Genomic DNA, 22,571 nt, shown 5'->3' on the forward strand with positions numbered 1-22,571 from the left:
TTAGTAGAGATGGGGTTTCACCGTGGTCTCAATCTCCTGACCTCTTGATCCGCCCGCTTTGGCCTCCCAAAGAGTTCCTTTCTTTCAGGTGAAAGGAGAAAGAGTTAAATCACTGGTGCCCAAAGAGTACTTAAATTGTAATCCCTTGATTTAGGATCCAGCCTCAGAATCTGACTGTTTTTGTTGAGTTGTAGTTCTGCTACATCTCCATAGAGTCCTGGGAGGGGCCTATCTATCATTTTAGCCTTTTGAGCTTAAATTCTTAGTATATTTTCCAGTATACTTAGCGTTGTATGAGAAGGTTAAATGTAGTTGAAGTATCTAGTGTTGTATACTTTAAATATATACTACTATAAGCTATTGAACTATATCACTATTACTTCTATGTAAAGTTGTATTTCAAATAAAAAAAAAAAACCATAAGTTTATTCCAGTTTGGGAGGTCCATTATTTTCACAGCAGCTTGTCCAATATTTCTGAGATGTTTCTTTTCTCAGGTAAATTTTGGTACTTCCTCTGTGGTTAGTTTTGTGGGTTAGAGTATTTAATGGAAAAACATGTTTTAGAAATTTCTCACCTTAAAAAAGTTAGAACCAGATCATTCTTGAAAATAGGCACTCTTAAGAGGTTTCAACTGCAGATTTCCAAGTGATTTTCACAGATTTTATTTTCAACTGTATCTGAATTATGAAAGCATTACTTCAGATATGTGATACTTTAAATAAATATCTTTATAAATGTGTTTACACATGTTTTTTGTTTGTTTGTATATAGGATGTTAAATTTCCTCTTATGTTGGATATGTATGAACTGTGTACACCAGAACTTCAAGAGAAAATGGTGTCTTTTCGATCCAAATTCAAGGATCTAGAAGATAAAAAAGTGAATCAGCAGCCAAATACAGTAGGTTCTTACTGCTGACTTTATACTCTTAATATCTTAATCTCCCATCAGTGCTCAGCAATTACTCTGTCTTTTTTTTCCTGCTTCATTTTTCCTTCAGAACTATACTTTGTATAGTATTATTTGGATCAATCTGTATTACAATTAGCAGGTATACACATCCTCCATATATCAGTGCAGATCTTTAAAGTTTTGCATGTGTTTTATTTTCCTTTTTTTTTTTTTGTGACAAGGTCTTCCTTTGTCACTCAGGCTCACTGCAGTCTCAACCTCCCAGGCGCAAATGATCCTCCCACCTCACCCTCCCAAGTAGCTGGGACCACAGGCGTGCGCCACCATGCCCAGCTATTTTTTTGTATTTTTGGTAGAGACAGGGTTTTGCCATGTTGCTGAGGCTAGTCTCGAACTCCTGAGCTCAGGCGATCTGCCCACCTAGGCCTCCCAGAGTGCTGGGGATTATAGGCATGAGGCACCACACCTGGCCTTTAGGTGTATTTTAGCATGAGAAACAGAACTCTACTTAGAATAAATGAGTCCTTTGTGGTAGAATAAGCTTAATATTTTCCTTCCCCCTGTAATCTGTAGCTCATATTCCTTTTATACTTATCTCCTCAAAGTACTTCACGTAAAACCTTACCTAGTGTTGACCTTGATGCAGTCAAAATACAGTACATTTCCATCACCACAAAGATCTTGCATTATTGCCACAGGGCCACTTTTCTTCTGCCCTACCCCTTCCTTAATTCCTGACAACTACCAACCCGTTCATTTCTATAATTTTTGTCATTTCAAGAAAGTTGGCCAGGCATGGTGGCTCACGCTAGTAATCCCAGGACTTTGGGAATCTGAGGCAGGAGGATCACTTTAGGCCAGGAGTTCGAGACTGTCCTGGGCAACGTAGTGAAACCCTGTCTCTACAAAATATGAAAATAAAAAAAATCAGTTGGATGTGGTGGCATACACCGGTAGTTCTAGCTACTTGGGAGGCTGAGATGAGAGGATCGCTTGAGACCAAGAGTTAAATGCTGTAATGAGCCATGATTGTGCCACAGCACTCCAACCTGTATAACAAAGCAAGACTCTGTTTCTAAAAAAAAATTATACAAACGAAATAAAAACTCTTCCACTTTTTAATATAACCTTTCTCACTCAGCATAATTCTCTGGCGACTCATCCAGGGTGTTGTGCATATCAGTTGCTCCTTCCATTTCATTGCTGATCAGTATTCCCTGGTGTGAATTTACCACAATCTGCTTCACCATTCACCTATTGAAGAACACCTGGGTTGTTTCTAGTGTTTGTCTGTGATGAATAAACCTGCTGTAAACATTCGTGTACAGGTTTTAATGTAAACGTAAGTTCCATTTCTCTGGAATGAATGCCTAGGAATGCAGTTGTTAGATTGCATGGTAGTTGCATGTTTAGTTTTTCAGGAAACTGCCAGATGTTTTCTAGAGTGGCTGTACCATTTTACATTTCCACCAGCAAGGTGAGACTGATTCACTTTCTCTGCATTCTCACCAGCATTTGGTGTTGTCACTATTTTTCATTTCAGCCATTGGATAGGTTTATAGTGATACTGTGTTTTCCTTTGCACCTTCCTAGTGGCTGATGAAGTTGAGCATGTCTTCATGTGTTTATTTGCTATCTGTATATCCTCTTTTGTAAAATGCTTCCTCTTGTCTTTTCCCTATTTTCTAATTGTACTGTTTTTTTACTCTTGAATTTTGAGAGTTCTCCATATTCTAGACCTTTGTTGGATATGTGGTTTGTGAATATTTTCTCCTAGTCTGTAGCTTATGTTTTCATCCTCTTAACCTAGGGTCTTTTGCAGAAGAAAGGTTTTTTTAATTTTTATGAAATCCAGTCTATTTTTTTCTTTAGTTGCTTGTGCTATTGGTGTCATATCTAAGAAAGCATTGCCGGGCTCGGCATGGTGGCTCTCACCTGTAATCCCAGCACTTTAGGAGGCTGAGACAGGCAGATCACTTGAGGTCAGGGGTTCGAGACCAGCCTGGCAAACATGGTGAAACCCTGTCTCTACTAAAAATACAAAAAATTAGCTGGGTATGGTGGTGCGGACCTATAATCCCAGCTACTTGGGAGGCTGAGGCAGGAGAATCGCTTGAACTGGGGAGGCAGAGGTTGTAGTGAGCTGAGATCACGCCACTGCCCTCCAGTCTGGGCAACATTGCCCAGTCCATGCCCTCAGAGATTTATACGTATGTTTTTTTCTGAGAGTTCTGTGGTTTTAGTTCTTCCATTTAGGTCTTTGATCCATTGAGGGTTAACTTTTTATATAGTGTGAGGTGTGGGTTCAGATTCATTGTTTTGCATGTGAATATCTGGTTGTCTCAGCACCATTTTTTAAGAAGACTGTTCTTTGCCCATCAGATGGTCTTGGAACCTTTGTAGAGATTAATTTGACCATCTGTATTTATGAGTGTATTTCTAGACTATTAATTTTATTCCATTGGTCTATATGTCTGTCCTGATGCTCATACCAGACTGACTTGATTACTGTAGTTTTCTAATAAGGCTTGAAATTGTGAAGTATCAGCCTTCACTTTTGTTCTTCTTTTTGAAAGTTATTTTAGCTATTCTGAGTCCCTTGCATTTCCATGTATATTTTAGGATCAGCTTGTCCATTTCTTCAAAAAAGATTGACGGGGATTACACGGAATCTGTGGATCAATTAAAAAGTATTACTATCTTAATAGTATTAAGACTAATCTCAGCACTTTGGGAGGCCAAGGTGGGCAGATTGCTTGAGTCCAGAAGTTGGAGACCAGCCTGGGCAACATGGCAAAACCCTGTCTCCACAAAAAATACAGAAATTAGCCAGGCGTGGTGGCGTGTGCCTGTAGTCCCAGCTGTTCAGAAGGCTAAGGTGGGAGGATCACTTGAGCATGGGAAATGGAGGTCATAGTGAGCCAAAATGGTGCCACTGCACTCCAGTCTGAGTGACTGAGTAAGACTGTGTCTCAAAAAATAAAAAGTATTAAGTCTTACAATCCATAAACTTCATGTGTCTTTCTATTCATTTAGGTCTTTAATTTTTTTCATAATGTTTTATAGTTTTCAGTGTACAAGCCTTGGACATTTTTGGTTAAATTTATTCCTAAATAGTTTATTCTTTTTGATGCTTTTGTAAATGGCATTCCTTTCTTAATTTCATTGTCTAGAGTGGCTAGTAAAGCTAGCATATAGAAATAAAATTAACTTTGTATATGGATCTTAAATCCTTGACTTTGCTGAATTTATTAGCTGTTTTTATCCATTAGTGTTTTGAAGAGATTATGTAGAATTGGTGTTAATTTTTTTTTAAACATTTGATAGAATTGGTGGAACAGTCTGCTTAGAGATTTTACTTTCAGGAGTTTTATTTGTTTATTTTATTTTATTTTATTTTTATTTATTTTTTTTCTATTGCCTAAACATAGGCAGGCACATTTTCAGGAGTTTTTACATTTCAAATTTAATTTCCTTCATAGATATAGGGCTATTCAAATGATCTATTTCATATTGTGTTTGTTTTTGTAAATTGTTTTCCCAGAATTGATCCATTTCATAAGCTTATCAAATTTGTATGTAGAATTGTTTCTAGTATTTATTACCCTTTTGATGTCTGTAGAGTGTTTAGTGAGTGAGATCCATCCCGTTTCATTGCTGATATTAGTAATTTGTGTTTGTCCCCCTTGCTTGAGGATTATTAATTTTATTGATATCTTCAAAGAATTGGCTTTGTTTCATGGATTTTTCTCTATTTTCTGTTTTTAGTTGTATTGATTTCTGCTCTTATTTCCTTTATTCTGCTTGCCTTGTGATATAAATTTCCCTTTCAGCAGTGATTTCACTATATCCTATGAATTTTGATACATGGTATTTTTATTTTCATTCTGTTCCTTGTATTTTTAAAAATTTATCTTGAGACTTCCTCTTTGGCCATTGGTTATTTAGAAGGGTCTAAGTAATTTTCCTGTTATGTTTCTGTTGATTCTAGTTTGATGCCATTGTGGTGACAGAACACACTTACTTGATTTAAATTCTATTACATTTATTTATTTATTTGAGACTGAGTCTTGCTCTGTCGCCCAGGCTGGAGTGCATAGGTACGATCCCGGCTCAGTGCAACCTCTGCCTCCTGGGTTCAAGCAATTCTCATGCCTCAGCGTCCCGAGTAGCTGGGATTACAGGCGAGTGCCACCATGCCTGGCTAATTTTTGTATTTTTATTAGACACAGGGTTTCATCATGTTGGCCAGGCTGGTCTCGAGCTCCTGATCTCAAGTGATCCACTCGCCCCGGCGTAAGCCACTATACCCGGCCTAAATTATATTAAATTTAAATGTGATTTAGGTATAGACTATTTACATTTAGTGCAATCATCGACATGTTAGGGTTTAATTCTGCTTTTTTGATGTTTTGCCTTTTTTTTTTTGTCTTCTTGTGGGTTACTTGAACTGTGTTTTAGAATCCTGTTTTACTTTATGTTTTTAAATGTGTTTCTTTGTATAGTTTTTTCAGTGATTGCTGTAGGTGATTTCATTATCTGTATAAAAAAGATGTGATTAACCTAGTTGCCATTTTTTGTTGTGGAATCCTTTGACTTCTTGCCATCACAGCTACCTGTAAGCTGCTGGCATTGTCTTCATTACCATTATAGTTTTAAAGAACTTTGTGCTGTATTCCTAGATAAGTTATTTTTCTCATGTTGCATGCTAAAATGAGTTGAAGCAGTGAGTTCCTCCTAAGAGTCCTTGTCTAATTTAAATCATACCTCTTTAATGTAGGTAAGTCTTTGCTGAAAAATATTTCAGTTCATTTGTGCTGGCGTGGTAAGTGGACATGGCTCAGGAGGTTTAATACAAATTGCAGGAATTCTTGTTTTAGAGGTAGTTGTTTTTTCCCCCCACCTCTGTGGTTTGACAGTATTTTGGTAACACTGGGGAATTGGGTTTTTCCTTTTCTGCCCTAGAGCACTGTTTAACTGTACTGCTGTATTCACTGGTACGCTTTCACTTTAATGGTTTAAAATTGGTCATCACATTCAGGGTGTCTGTTACTGTACTGTAACAAGATTTTATATTGTTGAAGTGTAGGACTGCTGGGTTTACAGTTTTAACTGTGGTTATATCATTTTAGTAATTTGGAAGGTAGACTGTATTTTGTCTCTGTGCACTGTAGACAGTAAATATTTATGAAATTGAACACTTACAGAGAATTCAAATTTTATTTCCAAAATCATGATTTAAAATTAAACATTTTTTTCTCCTCAGAGTGACAAAAAGAGTAGTCCCCAGAAAGAAGTTAAGTATGAACCCTTTTCTTTTGCTGATGGTAAGTAACATTCTCATTTTAATTGAGTTATTGTATGTGGGTCTTTTTAAGGTAAAATTTACATCTTACCCCATATTTACTTATTCTGATGTGCTTTTCAAACAAAATGTCAGGTTTCTTGAACAATTTACCTTAATGACATATAGTAAATTTACTCATTGGCATACAGTTCTATGAGTAAGTTACTTATTAAAACATCAATCATGAAGCCTTAACTATGATTGGACAGTAGTATCTTATTGGATTCTGATAATACTTTCGTAATGTGAACTTTAGAGTTATTCTTGTTACTTAGCTTGAGAAGGCACATGTCTATTCATTGTCTAATATTAATGGATTTACATCTTTCTTTAGATATTGGCTCCAATAATTGTGGATACTATGACTTACAAGCAGTACTAACACACCAGGGAAGGTCTAGTTCTTCAGGTCATTATGTATCATGGGTGAAAAGGAAACAAGGTAAAGGGTATTCTTTTTTCAACTGTTCAATATTATTTTAACAGTTCATTTATTATAAATTTTATAGCAGTGTGGTTTTCAAACTTTGGGTCTCAGAACCACTTTACATTCTTGAAGCCCCAAAGAGCTTTGGTTTATGAGGTTTGCCTCTCTTAATACTTACTGTATTAGAAATTAAAACTGAGAAATTAAGAAAGTTAGTTTTAAAAATGATAGTAATAAGCCCATTACATATTAATGTAAAAACAAAATGAGTGAGAAATGGTACTGATTTACATTTTTATGTCTTTCTGTTGTCTGGCTTAAATAGGAGGCAGCTGGGTTCTCCTGTTAGTGTTCGCATTCAGTCTGTTGCATTATCATACATTATGTAGCCTCTGGAAAATTCCAGAGTACACTTGAGAGAATGTGGGTGGAAAAGGCAAGCAGTGCTCTAGTGGTGTCATTGAAGTAGTTGTAACCTGGTGGAACCCCTGCAGTGCCCTTAAGCCTGTGTGGTCACTGGGTCGCACTTGGAGGACTGTTGGTGTGGCCAGTGGAGCACTGCTGTGCCTCCGATGACTTGATACTTTTTTTGCAGTGGAACTCTGAGACGAATCCTGCATAACATTAATTCATCTTCTTGTCCCTGTTATTTAGATGAATGGATTAAGTTTGATGATGACAAAGTCAGCATCGTAACACCAGAAGATATCTTACGGCTTTCTGGTGGTGGAGACTGGCATATCGCTTACGTTCTACTCTATGGGCCTCGCAGAGTTGAAATAATGGAAGAGGAAAGTGAACAGTAATCTTCATTTTAGTATTTATGCTTAGATGTGAAAATAAATGTTATTTGTTGATCATTTCTATAATCCAGAGCTTTAGAGGAAGACACATAGGTGGGTTTATGTTTCACCTCATTTGGAACAAAAGAGGACAGAAGCAGACCACTCTGTGCACCAACCTAAAAAATTACAGAGAAGAGAAAATTATCTTTGGATTGTGCTGCCCTATATAAAGGTGGCAGAAAGACATTTTTAAAAAGCTTATTATTTCTTGCATTATTTTAAAAAGTTCAGAGTTGAAATGCCTTTCAACCATTTCCTTCTGTGGTCATTTTTCTTGCTGCCTTTTTCACCCAAGATTCAGCAGTCAGATGTTTACTGCACACCTATTACCTATTATTTGCTGTTCTTGCATGGTTCAAACCACCATTCTGTAGCCACCCATCCTTTGCCTTATCTAACAAACATTTTTCCAGGAAGGTGGAAAAGGAAGTGTTGCTCTCATTGTGTGACTCAGTGCTGCTGTCCATCCCATGGAAACATGGGCACAATCAAGTATTTGTCCAGCCTATTGCAGGCTTTTCCTGACTTTAAAATAAATTGTGATCAATAATAGTACCTTTGATTATACATTTATTATTGTGTCTCTCTCTGATGTACTGTGGATTGTACATTTAACTTTGGAATGGCTTTGTAATAATCAGTCTTAAGAAAATGTTGACAAGCTCTGGTTGCTTATTTTTAGAAAATGAGGACATTTAATAATAATAAAAAAAAAGGGATTAATAGCTTTTGACCTCAAGTCTTTTGTCTTCTGAGTGTTGGAGCTTGGCTGAAGACATGTTTAATACTGTACAATTTCTGAAGATGGTTATTAACACTGTGCTGTTAAGCATCCATTTAAAAATATTTGTTATCTTCTTTGCCTGCCTGTATTTTAAAAAGAAATACAAAGTTGTAAAAGTAATGGATTTCTTTGGATGCTGAATGCAGTGATGTTATCAGTCAGATTCTTTCCTTGGCTCAGTTGTGTTTGTATTTCCTTTCTTAATTCCCCAAATCTTGGCTGGGCACGGTGGCTCACGCCTGTAATCCCAGCACTTTGGGAGGCTGAGGCAGGTGGTTCACTGGAGGTTGAGTTCGAGACCAGCCTGGCCACATGGTGAAACCCTGTCTCTACTAAAGATATAAAAATTAGCTGGATGTGGTGGTGCACACCTGTGATCCCAGCTACTTGGGAGGCTGAGGTGGGAGAATTGCTTGAACCTGGAAGGCAGAAGTTGCAGTGAGCTGAGATCACACCACTGCACTCCAGCCTGGGTGACAGAGAGACTCTGTCTCAAAAAAAAAAAGAAAAAATTCCCAAATCTTAATGTCTGTTTCAGAATTTTAGTGATTTTAAAGTGATAGTAGAAAATACCAAGCATATGAGGTATTTCAATATGATAGGCTTCTTACATTTTAATAGTTACTCATCTTTGTTCCAGGACCCTTGACTGATGCTAGGGAAAGGATAAAGCATAGAATACCAGCCAGTTTGGCTCTGATTTTGAGTTATTTATAATAAAGTTTGGGGATTATCATAACATCTCATATCTTTGTGTATGTTGTTTTAATGCTCGGCAGAGCACAACACTGATGATAACTATTAAAAATAGAAAATAACAGCCATTTTACTTTCAAATCTGATGTGATGCAATCTGTGAACACTAGGAGGGGATAAAATAAGCATTGCAGGGAAACTTATTTGTAAATAGCTTCCTCACCTAAACTTTGACTTGGCAATCAATACTTTCTACTTTGTGGAGGGGATTAAGAATAGAATGGGCAGGATGAGACCATGAAAATTATAATGATTCATGTATATTTGTATGATGCTTGTAACTTTGCAAAGTCTTTTTTATTCATTGTCTCATTTGGTCAGAACAATTTTATTGAGGACATGAATTTAACAATTAGAATTTAGATTTTCTGACTGTAGCTACTAAATGTTGTAGCTACTAGACCAGGTGAGCTAGGTTTAGAGCAAAGTATATAAGCCTTGTATGGACTATATTAGAATTTTAAAAATTGTAATTAATTCCTTATCATCATTATAAAAAGCTTGATTTTTTTATTTGATCTAAAAAAGCATTATTCCAAAGAATTTTTTCAAGTAGAAATGGGAGTTAGTTATACCAGTGTTGTTTTTAACTAATAAGGCTATTTTAGAATTCAGCCTTGCCTGTAAGGTCTTTGAGAAGGGAGAGGAGTAGGCCAAAAAAAAAAAAGTCTTGATTCCTGAATGTGCCTTATATGCTGTGCCACTCACACCGAGGCCATCATCTCAACATTAGAGTTGTGCTAGATTACTGCTTGACTGACTAGCTAGGTTAGGCCTAAGAGTGTTTACCGAATAATCTGCACTCACTCAGTAGCCCTTCTTCAGGATTAAAAACGATGATGACCTCATCTTAGAGCCCTAAAGGGAAATGCTTATGTGGGAACAAGAAAAGTCGGTGGTACTGTCTTCTGCTACTACTACTTAGTGCTTTGCTGTGTATAGGGTGTGTTCACATATATCTCAGTTGAATGTCACAAGAATCCCTGAAGTGATTAAAAGTCTTGAGAGGTCAGGCAATTTTTGTAAGGCTAGAAGGAAAAGTGAGGTTTTAGACTTCATTTCTTTTAAAGTTGGCAAACAAACATTTTCTGTAATGGACAAGATAGATAGATTAGATAGATAGATAGATAGATAGATGATGATTGATTGATGATTGATAGTAAATTATTTCAGGCTTTGCAGGCTATAAAGTGCTGCAGCTCCTTAGCTTTGCTGTTGTTATAGTGTAGCTGGAGCCATAGACAGTTAGTTAGTTAGTTATGAGTGAGCACAGCTGGGTGCCAGTACAATTTTAATGATCAAGACTCGTGGCAGGCAGAACAAACCATCATTTGTTGATCCTCTGCTTGAAAGCACGAATAAGTGAGAACAGAGCAGTCATATGGTTTCAGAAAGTGTTATTCTGGGATTTCAGGATAAATTTTGTAAAACTACTAACAAACAACACACAGGAAACTAATTTGGTATAAGAAACGACATATCCCTAAATAGTGCTTATTTAACTTCATTATAAATACATCTACTTAACAAAAAAATATATTTTGTGATCTTGAGGTCACTTCGTTTAGGTCATTATCTCAACCCAACCTCCCCAAACTCTGGTTTGAGCCAATATGTGTTCTATTGTTCTCAGAGCACCAGCCGACTGTACAACAATTGTTATAAAAATGTTTATTGTTTACCAAAACCAGTGGACCTCTTATCAAATGCTGCTTGGTAACAAAATCTATCACAGTTTTAATAAAAAGAAAAAAAAAAGAAGCTAACTATTTGTCTCATTGTCATTAGTTAGACTTTCTGCAAGGTCACTTAATCCAGACTTATTCAGTGCATTAATCAGATTCTCAGGTGTTGCATGAACTCCCTCTTGATCTTGCCAGGCAACCAGGAGCTGCTTAGCTCTCATCTTCATGTCTTCACTGTCACACTCAATCTGCCTAATTTCTGAGTCTTTCATTTCCAAGTAGGGAGCCAGAATCTTCCATTGTTCACCCAGCTTGTTGGCAAATACCTCTATTTGTTCTCCTGTTACAGGTTTGTCTCGCCGAACATCAGGACCTAGAAAATGAAGAGAATATAAATTATGCGCAATTCTAAGTATACAACAGAAATGGAAAGCTATGGGGCCAATAAGTTTTATTAACCACCTTTAGTAGACTTTATTTTAAAAGTAAACAATTATTTTTTATATTCTCCGTAAGTTGAATACCACTCTTAATAAGCATGGTCAATAATCAAAGCTAAAGCTGTTACCTATAATTACGTAGGCTTTCCCTGAAATGAGGTGCTCCCCCTCCAATAACCAATAATTAACAGAGGTATGGGTCGCCTTCAAATGTATTTTCATTCCCTTTTAAAGCACCATTACTTCCCAATTTTATTGCATAAAATGTAGTGTTTTTAAAGTTATTATTAAGCAATGTTTTAAATTCCTCACTATGTCAGAAACAGTTGAGATAAAATGGGAGAAGTTGAGAAGTCGATCAAATTAAATAATGTACCTATCAACAAAGAACCCCAATCGTCTTCAATTTTGTTAAATAACCAAGAAAATTCAGTTCTTACTTTCATTTTCCTTCAGTAGAGCATCATTATCTTCCTCATCTTCATCCTCACCTGTTTTTATTTCTTCAGAAGGAGGCTAAAAATGAGAAAGAAGAATGTTTGAAAGAATGCCAGCCTCTGAAGTAAGGTAACAGGTATTTTGTTTGGATAAGGACGGTTGTGAGATTCCAAGTACAGGGTGCCAGAACCTCACCCCTGAGAGCGTTAAATGACAGTGTCAGGTAAGGATCCTAAGTGGGACTATCTTCACCTGCAGAAGGAGTGAACTTGGGAAGACCTCAGAGTTGGAAAGACTCCCCACCCCCAATCTGGGAAGCAGGAAGTCAGTAAAAAGCACAGTTCCAGGATTTGCAAATACCCAGGGTTTATTTAGTAAAGACGGCCTCAAGGAAGCCAGTAGCAACAGTGTCCTTAAAAGTTTCTGATTCTTATCTTTTATCTTTGATAAAAGACAATATAATGCATTGGCAAACAGGAAAAAATTCATGTCTGTGTGTATAGGTGCATAACAGTTTACCTGAAGTATCACGAACTTTAATTTTTTGAGACGGAGTCTTGCTTGGTTGCCAGGCTGGAGTGCAGTGGCGAGATCTCGGCTCACTGCAACCTCCGCCTCCCAGGTTCAAGCAATTCCCTTGCCTCAGCCTCTTGAGTAGCTGGGACTACAGGCACGTGCCACCACACCTGGCTAATTTTTTATATTTTAGTAGAGACGGGGTTTCACCATATTGGCCAGGATGGTCTCAATCTCTTGACCTCATGATCCACCCGCCTCGGCCTCCCAAAGTGCTGGGATTACAGTCGTGAGCCACCGCACCCACAGCCCTGTTGAACTTTAAATTACATGCTGTACAGAAAATTATCAGTTACTTCTTTATCAACTCATGTATTTCCTGTAAATGTATATTCCAATGTGTTTTTCCCTCATTCTAAAACATGGGAGCTTGTGGATCACTGGTTTTTCACATGATTAAGTCAGTTTTTTGCTCACATAGTGACAGCAATTTTAAAGAAGATGTCAACTAAAGGGTATGAAAAGTTGATCTATGGTACTTACCGGTAATTCCTTGGCTAGCTTTATTACCATATTTTCAAGATATTCTGGTAAACTTTTAAACTGCTGGTTGGTTGGCTGGAAGAAGTGAGGGCTTCTCCGTGCTAATAGTCTCAGGGCTCTCCAACCATAATTTGAATTGTTCACAGCCCTATAAAAAGAGGTGTCAGGCTTGTAATTTATAGCTTTGTATTTCTGTATTCCCTTCTGCTCAGTTCTGCCATGTGTAATTCTGTATTTAAGGTAAATAGCTCAAAGTGCCATTCTTTGTATTTGAATCTTATTCCTAAAGAACTTTTCAGTATGTAGTCCACTGATAATAACAAACCAATAGATGCACATGTAACTAATCACAGGAACCAACAATGCCTGAAGAGGCAGGCTCATATGCAGCAAACACATTTTCAAAGTTTCCGTTCATTTTGTTTAATTTTAACAAGTCAACAAGTGTGTGCAGTACTGGCTGGATGCAGTACGTATACAACAGGAATCATCCATCTAGCTATTTGGAATCCATGAACTGTTCCCTAATGAAGTATAACAATGATCAGGGTGGTATACCATCAGGTGAGAAACAAACTGCAGAGAAATTCTAAAGATAATGCGTCAGAAATATGCAATGCTGCGGAAGAAACCAAACCACAAATTTATTCCATTTAAGAGTTTTGGATTGGAAGTCTCTTCCTCCCCTAAGAATAGCAATTTGGTTTATTTGGTCACCTCTTATAAATAAGCATATGTTACCTTTAGGATGTGCAGGTACCACTGAAGACTTAACAAAAACTACCCATAGACACTGGGGACTCTTCCCAAGTTAACACCTGCTGTGAGGCTTTGCCTAAACAGTTAAGAGCCTTCCTCTCTGACATATCTGTTTAGACAATTTGATTATTTTAGGCATTTTCAAAATTCACTGTCAATTATACACATCATTTTTCTTATTCTCCACAAAACCCTCTTTGGAGATAATAATTTGAACTATCACTTTAGGAATGAGTCCACCTAGTCTTATGTAACAGTGATAAATTAATATTCTTTCAATCGACAAACACTTTTGAGCCAGGCACTCAGTAGCTGTGGAGAGTACCTGAGGCACAGTAAGGCAGGCATTGCTAGTGATAAACACACAAGGTATAAGACAATTTCATAAGGATGAGGAAAACTTGAGAAATGAGAAAGTGGTAAGTGCCACCTTCTCATTTGGATAGTGGTAAGTGCCGTGAAATAAAAACCACGAGAATGCAAAAGAGGAGACCAGGGAGGGGAAGAGCTTCCCAGCCAGGGGGACTTTAAGCCACGGCAACCTTGGGGAAAAAGTGGTTCAAGCAAGTGAGACAGTAAAGTGTGAAGGTCCTGACAGGAAAGGGAAAGACAGGACCAAGAGGCCTGCTGTGGTTAAAGCAGAGGGGAGGCATGGCCACACAGGAGAGTATGAGCCAGACCAAGGAGGTCTTTTAGGCCCTGGGAAGGAGTTTGGAATAGGCACTCACTGGGAGATTTTAAGCAGATTAGACTTGGACAATTATTTTAAAGATCACTGGCTGATGCATGGAGCACTGACCACAACTAGAGAGATTAGTTAAGAGGTCACAGTAATTAACAACTCTGGTCACAGGGTCACACTAGTCACAAATACTGAGTGCTAACCACATGCCCTGTAGGGTTCAAAGTGCACTGTCTTATTTAATCCTCAGAATAACCCTGTGAAATGGGTACTGTTACTATTTAACAGATGAGGAAAGGGAACTGGCGGTTTAATAATTAAATTAGCCTTAGTTGCCTAGTAAGTAAGTGGTAGAGGGAATCGAACCTATGCATTCTGACCAGAGGCCTCTTGCCTTTAAACCACTACTCTTCAATTCCTATTTAAAGCCATGAGACTGCGGTGTCACCCAGAAGGTTCTAGATAAAGAGGCTAAGACCAATTCCTGATGTTACTCCAAAATTTGAGTTAGGCAGAGGATGAGGAGGCTGAAATGGAATGTGAGGTGGAGTGGGCAACGAGGGCAAAGGGCAAACAGAAGAACCATGGATTTGGATTCTCATGGACGCCAAGAGAAGAAAACATTAAGGGGAACAGGATAGGTTAACAGCTGCTGTGAGATACTGTGCTTTGAAGGGTAGAGAGAACAGAACTAATAGTTGGAGAGAAATGGGGATCAGGGGGAGTTTTTTTTTTCTTATATTTTGAAACAAGGGTGATTCCAAGTCATGCTTAGTTAACAGGAATAATCCTTGAAATCAGGATGTGTACTAACAAGAACTTGGAACATAAACTCACCTAAGAGAAAAAGCACTATTCTATCTACTGCCTCTCTTAAGAGGCTTTCTAGTATACACACAATTCCTAAGGAAGAAACAAATTGAAGAAAATTAAAAGGAGCTAATGAGGAGCATACTTACTTATATTCATTTTCCACCATATTTTCAGGGTCTGCCTGTTCAATGGCTTCTTCAAAGAATTCCTCCAAAGTGGGCATGTGTTCCCTGAGCGGTACAAAAATAACCAGTGAGGATGGCATATATTCTTAATAATAAATACTCATGAAGTGGTGGCAGGACAAGATTGTGGGCATGTGTTCCCTGAGCAGTACAAAAATAACCAGTGAGGATGGCATATACTCTTAATAATAAATACTCATAAAGTGGTGGCAGGACAAGATTGTGGGCATGTGTTCCCTGAGCGGTACAAAATAACCAGTGAGGATGGCATATACTCTTAATAATAAATACTCATAAAGTGGTGGCAGGACAAGATTGTGGGCATGTGTTCCCTGAGCGGTACAAAATAACCAGTGAGGATGGCATATACTCTTAATAATAAATACTCATAAAGTGGTGGCAGGACAAGATTGTGGGCATGTGTTCCCTGAGCGGTACAAAATAACCAGTGAGGATGGCATATACTCTTAATAATAAATACTCATAAAGTGGTGGCAGGACAAGATTGTGGGCATGTGTTCCCTGAGCGGTACAAAATAACCAGTGAGGATGGCATATACTCTTAATAATAAATACTCATAAAGTGGTGGCAGGACAAGATTCTAATGGCCCCATACTTTTAGTTACAGTTTTGATTACGTGGGAACTCCAGACTTTTAAGGAAGTAAAACCGTCAAAACTAAATTCAAAAAGGACAATAAATAAAGGGGATAGTCTAATACTAAATATTACATAGTATTTACTACATATAATATTATATACTTTAATTACACACTATAATATATAAATATGTTGCTATTCAAAGAGGGCAGCCAGGGTATTTTATAGCATTTGAATTTTACCAGCAAATAAACTTTTACATTAAGTCCCTATCCACGAATTATTTTTTCTTTAAACCAGAATTAAACCAAAACTAATAATCAGACCATAATACGATTTCAAGGGTTTAACCTTTAGCTCTTATTTAAATTGTTACCATGGTAGCATGGTTGATTTTTAAAATGCATCTTTCTTGAATTTGTTTTTAGAAATAAAATTTTGATACAGGGTCAAGCAAAGAAATGAGGTCTCAGGATCAGAAGACATCTTCTAGAGTAAAACTAGGAAAATGGGCTCTTTTAAGAAAACTATCCCAATATCCATTCATTTTCTAATGCTACAGATACTATATTCCATTTTATGAACATGCCCCAAGTTATCCATGTCCTACACAGAGATATTTGTCTTCCCACTCTTTGCTCTGACAATGTTAAATGAACATTCTTGCACCTGTCTCCTTGTAGATGAACTGATTTCTTTAGGCACTGGGCCTTCAAACTTCCACTGCAACCCACAATAAGAAATTCATTTTACACTGCAACCCAGTACACACATATATGCAAGTATATGTACAGATATATATAAGTAAAGCTAATGCTTCACAAAAGTATATTTCCTATTTCATTTAAAAAATGCTAGTTGAAATTACTAAATTGACTTTACAAACCACCAATGATTCTCAAACTTAGTTTTTAAAAACACTATTCTGATCAACACACCTACTAGTGGGGCACAGACATCTTTAACATTCAGATAGAGTGACTGTGCCATCAGACTCCTACCAGCAGCACTGGCAAATTATTTTTATCCATAATTCTTATAAAATCTGGGTATTTTTAAATTACTGAATCTCTTAGCTGGAAACTGCTTGCTGTAGTTTTTAACTGTACTTCCAGTTACTAGTGAAGTTCCCCGTCTTCTCAGAGGTTTATTAAGGTTTCTACTTCTGAATCTGACTATTCATTTGTACATTTTTCTACTGGGTTGATTCACTCTCACAGATTTGGCAGGAATCAATCATGTTAGAATTTTATCTATTTTTCCTGGTTTTTGTTTTTATTGATCTTCTCTTTTGATTTTGTTATCTTCTCTATTGTTTGTTGTCTATTTTACTGATTTCTAATCTTATTTTACTTTCTACTTCTATGAGTTTACTTTTCTTCTGAATGACTCTCAGTGTCAGACTCTTATTAGCTTGGTTTTTAGATTTCATTCTTTTTGAAAGTGTAAACACTTAAGGCTATACATTTCTCTTCTGTGTTCTACTGAGTTAGATCTCAAAAGTCTGAACATGTAGTGTTTTCATTATTATTTAGCTCTACATTTTCCAATTTCCATTATGACTTCTTTGATTCAAGGGTTATTTAGAAGTGTGTTTAAAGGAGTTGTAAGTATTTTTGCTTTTGCTATTCACACATAATTTACAAAAACTTGTGGTTTCTGTAAGACCAAGCCTGTTAATTATTTTGTTAAATTCTAAATGTATTACACTAAGTTTTTTCCACCAAATTTATTAAATTCTGAGAAAGGTCTGTCAAAATCCTACTAGATGGTAGGTTTTCTGGGTGGTGGTGGATGGTGAAAACTGACCCTGGGTCAACTTCTCATTCTAATTTTGTCAAATTTTTGAGAACACATTCTTAGAAAATAAAGTTTAAAATGTGTATATTTCTATTTTTTCCTTTTATCTTTATGCAATGATTGCCTTTATTTTTAATAATGCTTTCTGCTTTTAAGCCTTTTCTGCCTGATATCAATATAACTATGCCTTTTAAAAATTACGTCTTTTAAAAGTTCTTTCAGTTTCAACCTTTCCATATCTTTATTTTTAAGGTATATTTCTTATAAACATATAGATGGATCTTTTTTTTTTTTTTTTTTTTGAGACGGAGTCTCGCTCTGTCGCCCAGGCTGGAGTGCAGTGGTGCGATCTCGACTCACTGCAAGCTCCGCCTCCCAGGTTCACGCCATTCTCCTGCCTCAGCCTCCCAAGTAGCTGAGACTACAGGCGCCTGCCACCACACTTGGCTAATTTTTTGTATTTTTAGTAGAGACGGGGTTTCACCGTGTTAGCCACGATGGTCTCTATCTCCTGACCTCATGATCCGCCCGCCTTGGCCTCCCAAAGTGCTGGGATTACAGGTATGAGCCACCGCGCCTGGCCGATAGATCTTTAAAATATAACACCAATTTCTGTCTTTGAGCCAGAAAGTCCATTTCCATTTATATTTGAATTTAACCATACTGTTTTGTACTTTCTGTTGTGTTTTCTGTGCTTTTTTCCTCCTCTCCTACCTTCTAATTTACTTGCTTAAATTTTCTGTATTTACTTTTACCCCTCAATTTATTTAAAAATTACATATTCCATTTCTTTCACATACTTTACAAGCATGTTTGACTTAAACCATAACATTCTTTAATTCTGACCACCCCTTCTTGTCTTACATGTCACTTTTATCAAGTTTACCTTTTAAAATAACCCTAAATAATAATTATTACTATTTTATAACAGTGAATTCTTGATAAGATTTATTCAGATTTCTTCATGTTTACCAAAGTGTCTACACAGTAATCCTTTCTGCAATTTACTCCTTTCTGGGTTCAGTTTCCTTAAGACAGCTTTTTTACTGGGGACTGTTGATAATTTCTCATAGTTTTAGTCAATCACTCAACCACAACTGTTTAACTTGTTACAGAATTTTTTAGTTGAAATGTTGAAAAAGCAAGTAATACTTCTAGAAATGAGAAAATATAGTCATTGAATTTACAAAACGAGCAGGTTTAACAGCAGTCTGGACATAGGGAAAGTAAGAATTACTGGATTAATGATTAAGAAATCACCCAGAAAGCAATACAGAAGGAGCAAGAGTTGGAAACGATGAGTTAATGATAGTTGAGGAGGTCCAGCAAACATCTAATGGCAGAAAGAAATAATAGAGAATGTGAAAGACATTTTCAAGCACTCATCCCACTGTCTTCTGATTTTTGTTGTTCTTGAAGTCAACTGTTAGTTTAACTTTGCTCCTTTGTAGGTTGTCTGTTTTTTCTCTCTGGTGACTTTATTATCATGTACAGAGATATGGATTTATTTGGTTTATCCTCCTTAAGTATTATACTTCTTGAACCTATGAATTCATGCCTATTCTTAATAATTAACTCAATTATTGCCTCTTTCCCATTCTCTATTATTTCTTTCTGCCATCAGATGTTTGCTGGACCTCCTCAACTATCATTAAGTCATCGTTTCTAACTCTGCTCCTTCTGTATTGCTTTCTGGGTGATTTCTTAATCATTAATTAACCCATTAATTCTTACTTTACCTATGTCTAGACTGCTATTAAACTTGCCCATTTTGCAAGTTCAACGAACTTTTGTGACTATTAAAACCCAAGTTCCCTGGTTCTCAAAGCTGGCAATCATTAGTACTGCTGCCCTAGAACCGTATCAGTTCATAGGCTTACTCTTCTGTTTGTAGTTTTGATTCCTTTTGTGAATCTTTATTTTTTTGTGATTTCTAAAATTATTTTATCAGCACTTTGAGGAGTTTTATGGTGGGAAGTTACACGCTGCTGTGCCAAAAGTCAACCACAATAAACTTTTAAATTTCATTTGAGCTCTGATCATAGCTGAGAAAAGGCTCCATTCTACTCAACACTTGACAAAAGCAACACTTCATTTGAAAAATGTTCAACTTGCCTTGTCTCTGATTTACAGGCTTCCATATTATCAGGGCAAAGATTCCAAAGCCTTGTTAACTCCTCACTACAAAATAGACACAGAAATAAATACATTTTTTATGGACACCATCCTCATGTGCCTTGAAACTGAACAGAAAAACAATACAATGTAAACAGTGGATTTGGGGATGTTGACAGTATGAGTTTTACTTTTCTCAATAATTTTTGGTATTTAAAATACCTAAAATTATTCTCTATATGAGCATATAATCATTAATCATGACTAATGATAATGATATAATCTTTAGTTTTTTCTAAAAATATTCCAGCACAATATAAAGCAATGAATAGTTAACTGGAAGGTAAGAGAACTCAAGGATTATGGTACCTTGCAACAACTGGAATCTAAACAATTCTACTGTCTGAAACGGAAAAAATGGCACAGCCTAGAGACACAGATTTTGGAAGCTGGAGACAAAATGAAGGTTTATCTGGTGCATGAACCCACACAATGGGCAGTATAGACAGTGCGGTTTGCTTTGGCTATCTATGTGTGTACCAAACACAATCTCATACTATATTTTGGATGGAGAGTTCTTAAAGTAACATCTTCAAAATATAAAAATAACTAAGAACATCCCACATGAAGACAAATTCACCTACTTTCCCATCAGAATTTTTTTGGTGGGTCCTTTCCCTAGGAAGTCCTCGGGTGCTGTTCTCTTCCGAATTATTCTCGTAGGTTTGGTATCTGATGTTCTGTCGTGAACAAAACATACACTATTTTTTGAATTACAAATGGATAACAGAAATAGAAGAATGTTTAACGTAAAAGAAAATTTAGTTATTGTTTTCCTCTTAAAAAAGATGAAAACTGGCTGGGCATGGTGGCTCATGCCTGTAATCCCAGCACTTTGGGAGGCTGAGGTAGGTGGATCACCTGAGGTCAGGAGTTTGAGACCAGCCTGGCCAACATGGTGAAAGCCTGTCTCTACTAAAAATACAAAAATTAGCCAGGCATGGTGGTAGGCGCCTGTAATCCCAGCAACTCAGGAGGCTGAGGCATGAGAATCGCTTGAACCCAAGAGGCGGAGGCTGCGGTGAGCCAAGATCATGCCACTGCACTCCAGCCTGGGTGACAGAGTGAGACTCCCTCTCAAAAAAAAAAAAAAAATGAAAACTTCATATTATGATAGAACAATTATCAGATATAAGATAAAAATGCCACATTATATGGCAAATTACACGGAGTAGATATACAGTATTCTTCTCAATAATAAGATGTTTGTTCCAGGAATTTAATGACAAGAAATTTATGAGGTTTAAAAAATACAGAGGTAAATCAAAGTGGTTGTACTCTTACAAAGTTCAACTTACATTTTTTATGTGAAATATATACATGTATTTTTACATGCTATAATCATATCGGAGCACATTTTCAAAAGCCTTTCTCGTCGTTCTTGTGATGAGTATGTATTTACCTTTCTTTCAGTATGTATTTACCTTTCTTTCACAAAACTTGGGCAACCTTCATTTTTCCACGAGTTCCAGTTTTCTTCAGTGTTTAATATATGCTGGGAAAAACAAAGCGATTACATTTTGGTTAGTGGAATCCTCTGAAGTTCTATTTCGTGCTAAGAAGAGGATGTAAGCATAAAAAACACATACCTCTACCATCTTTGAAAATCTTTCTCCATCGGGGGGGTTTTCAGATAGTAGCTGTGATTAGAAAGAATATACTAAGCTTTCAACAACTTTCTGCATCATAGGAGTGGTTTGTAGGCAGAGAACCAAGGAGTGTTTGTGGTCTTGTACCTGAGCTTAACTTTATCCTTATTTTCCTATTTGGGGCTGAAACAAAGAAAATCCTAAATTTCCATTTTTTCAATCATGGGTTTGTTGCGTGTTGAACTTACTTGATAAACTGATTTTGTAGTATCTTCAATCCAAAGTGATTGCTCATCAGTTAAAACATAGTTTGAACTAGGGAACAAAGCAATGAAAGCATGCTTGAGTTACAGCAATGCATATGCAACTTTAAGGTTTAAAAAACACAAGGCATGTAACATGTAACTATACTGTGGATAGTGTCAAAAATTACCAAGACAAGAATAATCACAAATGAGAGGATTATAAGAGAAAATTCTTGCACTTCTTCCTCAAGAGGGTTGGTACTGAAGACATAAAAGCATATGCAGGGAATAAAACATTCAATTAATCAATCAGATTCACTATGAACAGAGCAATATATGTTTCCTAAAATAAGCTGAGTGTGAAACGAAAACTTCTGATTTGATATTAAGATATGTGTATACATGATGCACATTCAGTATGGCATGCTACATTAAGATTCATTCAAAATACAACGAATAAAACACCCAAACCCTAGAAAAGGCAACAGGCAAACCCAAATTGTTAATAGCTGCCACTAACTGAGCTCTCATAATGCACTAGGTGATTTAAAGACATCCAATAAATATTGATGGCTAGGATCTGAACACTTTACATACATTATTCATTGAATTCTCGGAACAAGTACATGTACATATTAAACAGAGACTACCGTGTCTCACTGATTTGCCCAAGGCCATAAAGATTTAATTCAAACCCACGTCTCACTTCAAAGTCCCTCATCTTCCTACTATGCTATACCAAACCTCCAAAATAGATAGAAGGATAAGAAATAACATTTTTTGAGTGTTTACCATGTGCTACTACCTTAAAATTACAAGTCTGAAAGAGCTGCACTGCAGCCAGCAAATGACGAGCCTGGGATTCAAACCCAGCAGGTAGTGAAGTCATTATACAACTAATACGGCATTGCTCAGTGTCCTTAACACAAATACCGTTAAGTAACAGTGGGCTCCACCTTCAGTTATGGACAGGATAGGAGGAAATGGATGGAAGTATTTAGATAGACAGTAGAGAGCCTAATGAGGT

At 36.8% G+C, this 22,571-nt stretch overlaps 2 protein-coding genes across 6 annotated transcripts in view; one reads left to right on the forward strand and one right to left on the reverse strand.

The window, feature by feature from the left end:
- USP14 (ubiquitin specific peptidase 14) overlaps positions 1-10,840 on the forward strand; it is a 56,073-nt gene extending 45,233 nt beyond the window's left edge. For both annotated transcript variants that reach the window (NM_005151.4, NM_001037334.2), the window contains 4 exons: positions 775-903; positions 6,182-6,242; positions 6,597-6,704; positions 7,344-10,840. In NM_005151.4, coding sequence (NP_005142.1) covers positions 775-903; positions 6,182-6,242; positions 6,597-6,704; positions 7,344-7,495 — 450 coding nt within the window. In that variant the 3' untranslated portion in view covers positions 7,496-10,840. The remainder of the gene's footprint in view (positions 1-774; positions 904-6,181; positions 6,243-6,596; positions 6,705-7,343) is intronic.
- THOC1 (THO complex subunit 1) overlaps positions 10,731-22,571 on the reverse strand; it is a 53,528-nt gene continuing 41,687 nt past the window's right edge. For 3 of the 4 annotated variants that reach the window (XM_011525772.4, XM_047437972.1, XM_011525774.2), the window contains 9 exons: positions 21,548-21,614; positions 21,300-21,350; positions 21,135-21,205; positions 20,295-20,411; positions 19,651-19,716; positions 15,097-15,180; positions 12,697-12,844; positions 11,640-11,715; positions 10,731-11,132 (listed from right to left, as the gene is read on the reverse strand). In XM_011525772.4, the coding sequence (XP_011524074.1) occupies positions 10,837-11,132; positions 11,640-11,715; positions 12,697-12,844; positions 15,097-15,180; positions 19,651-19,716; positions 20,295-20,411; positions 21,135-21,205; positions 21,300-21,350; positions 21,548-21,614 (976 nt within the window). In that variant the 3' untranslated portion in view covers positions 10,731-10,836. The remainder of the gene's footprint in view (positions 11,133-11,639; positions 11,716-12,696; positions 12,845-15,096; positions 15,181-19,650; positions 19,717-20,294; positions 20,412-21,134; positions 21,206-21,299; positions 21,351-21,547; positions 21,615-22,571) is intronic. The other variant, NM_005131.3, reaches the window with a different exon arrangement.

This window comes from Homo sapiens, chromosome 18 (genome assembly GCF_000001405.40).
Source record: "Homo sapiens chromosome 18, GRCh38.p14 Primary Assembly".
NCBI classification, from domain to species: domain Eukaryota; kingdom Metazoa; phylum Chordata; class Mammalia; order Primates; family Hominidae; genus Homo; species Homo sapiens.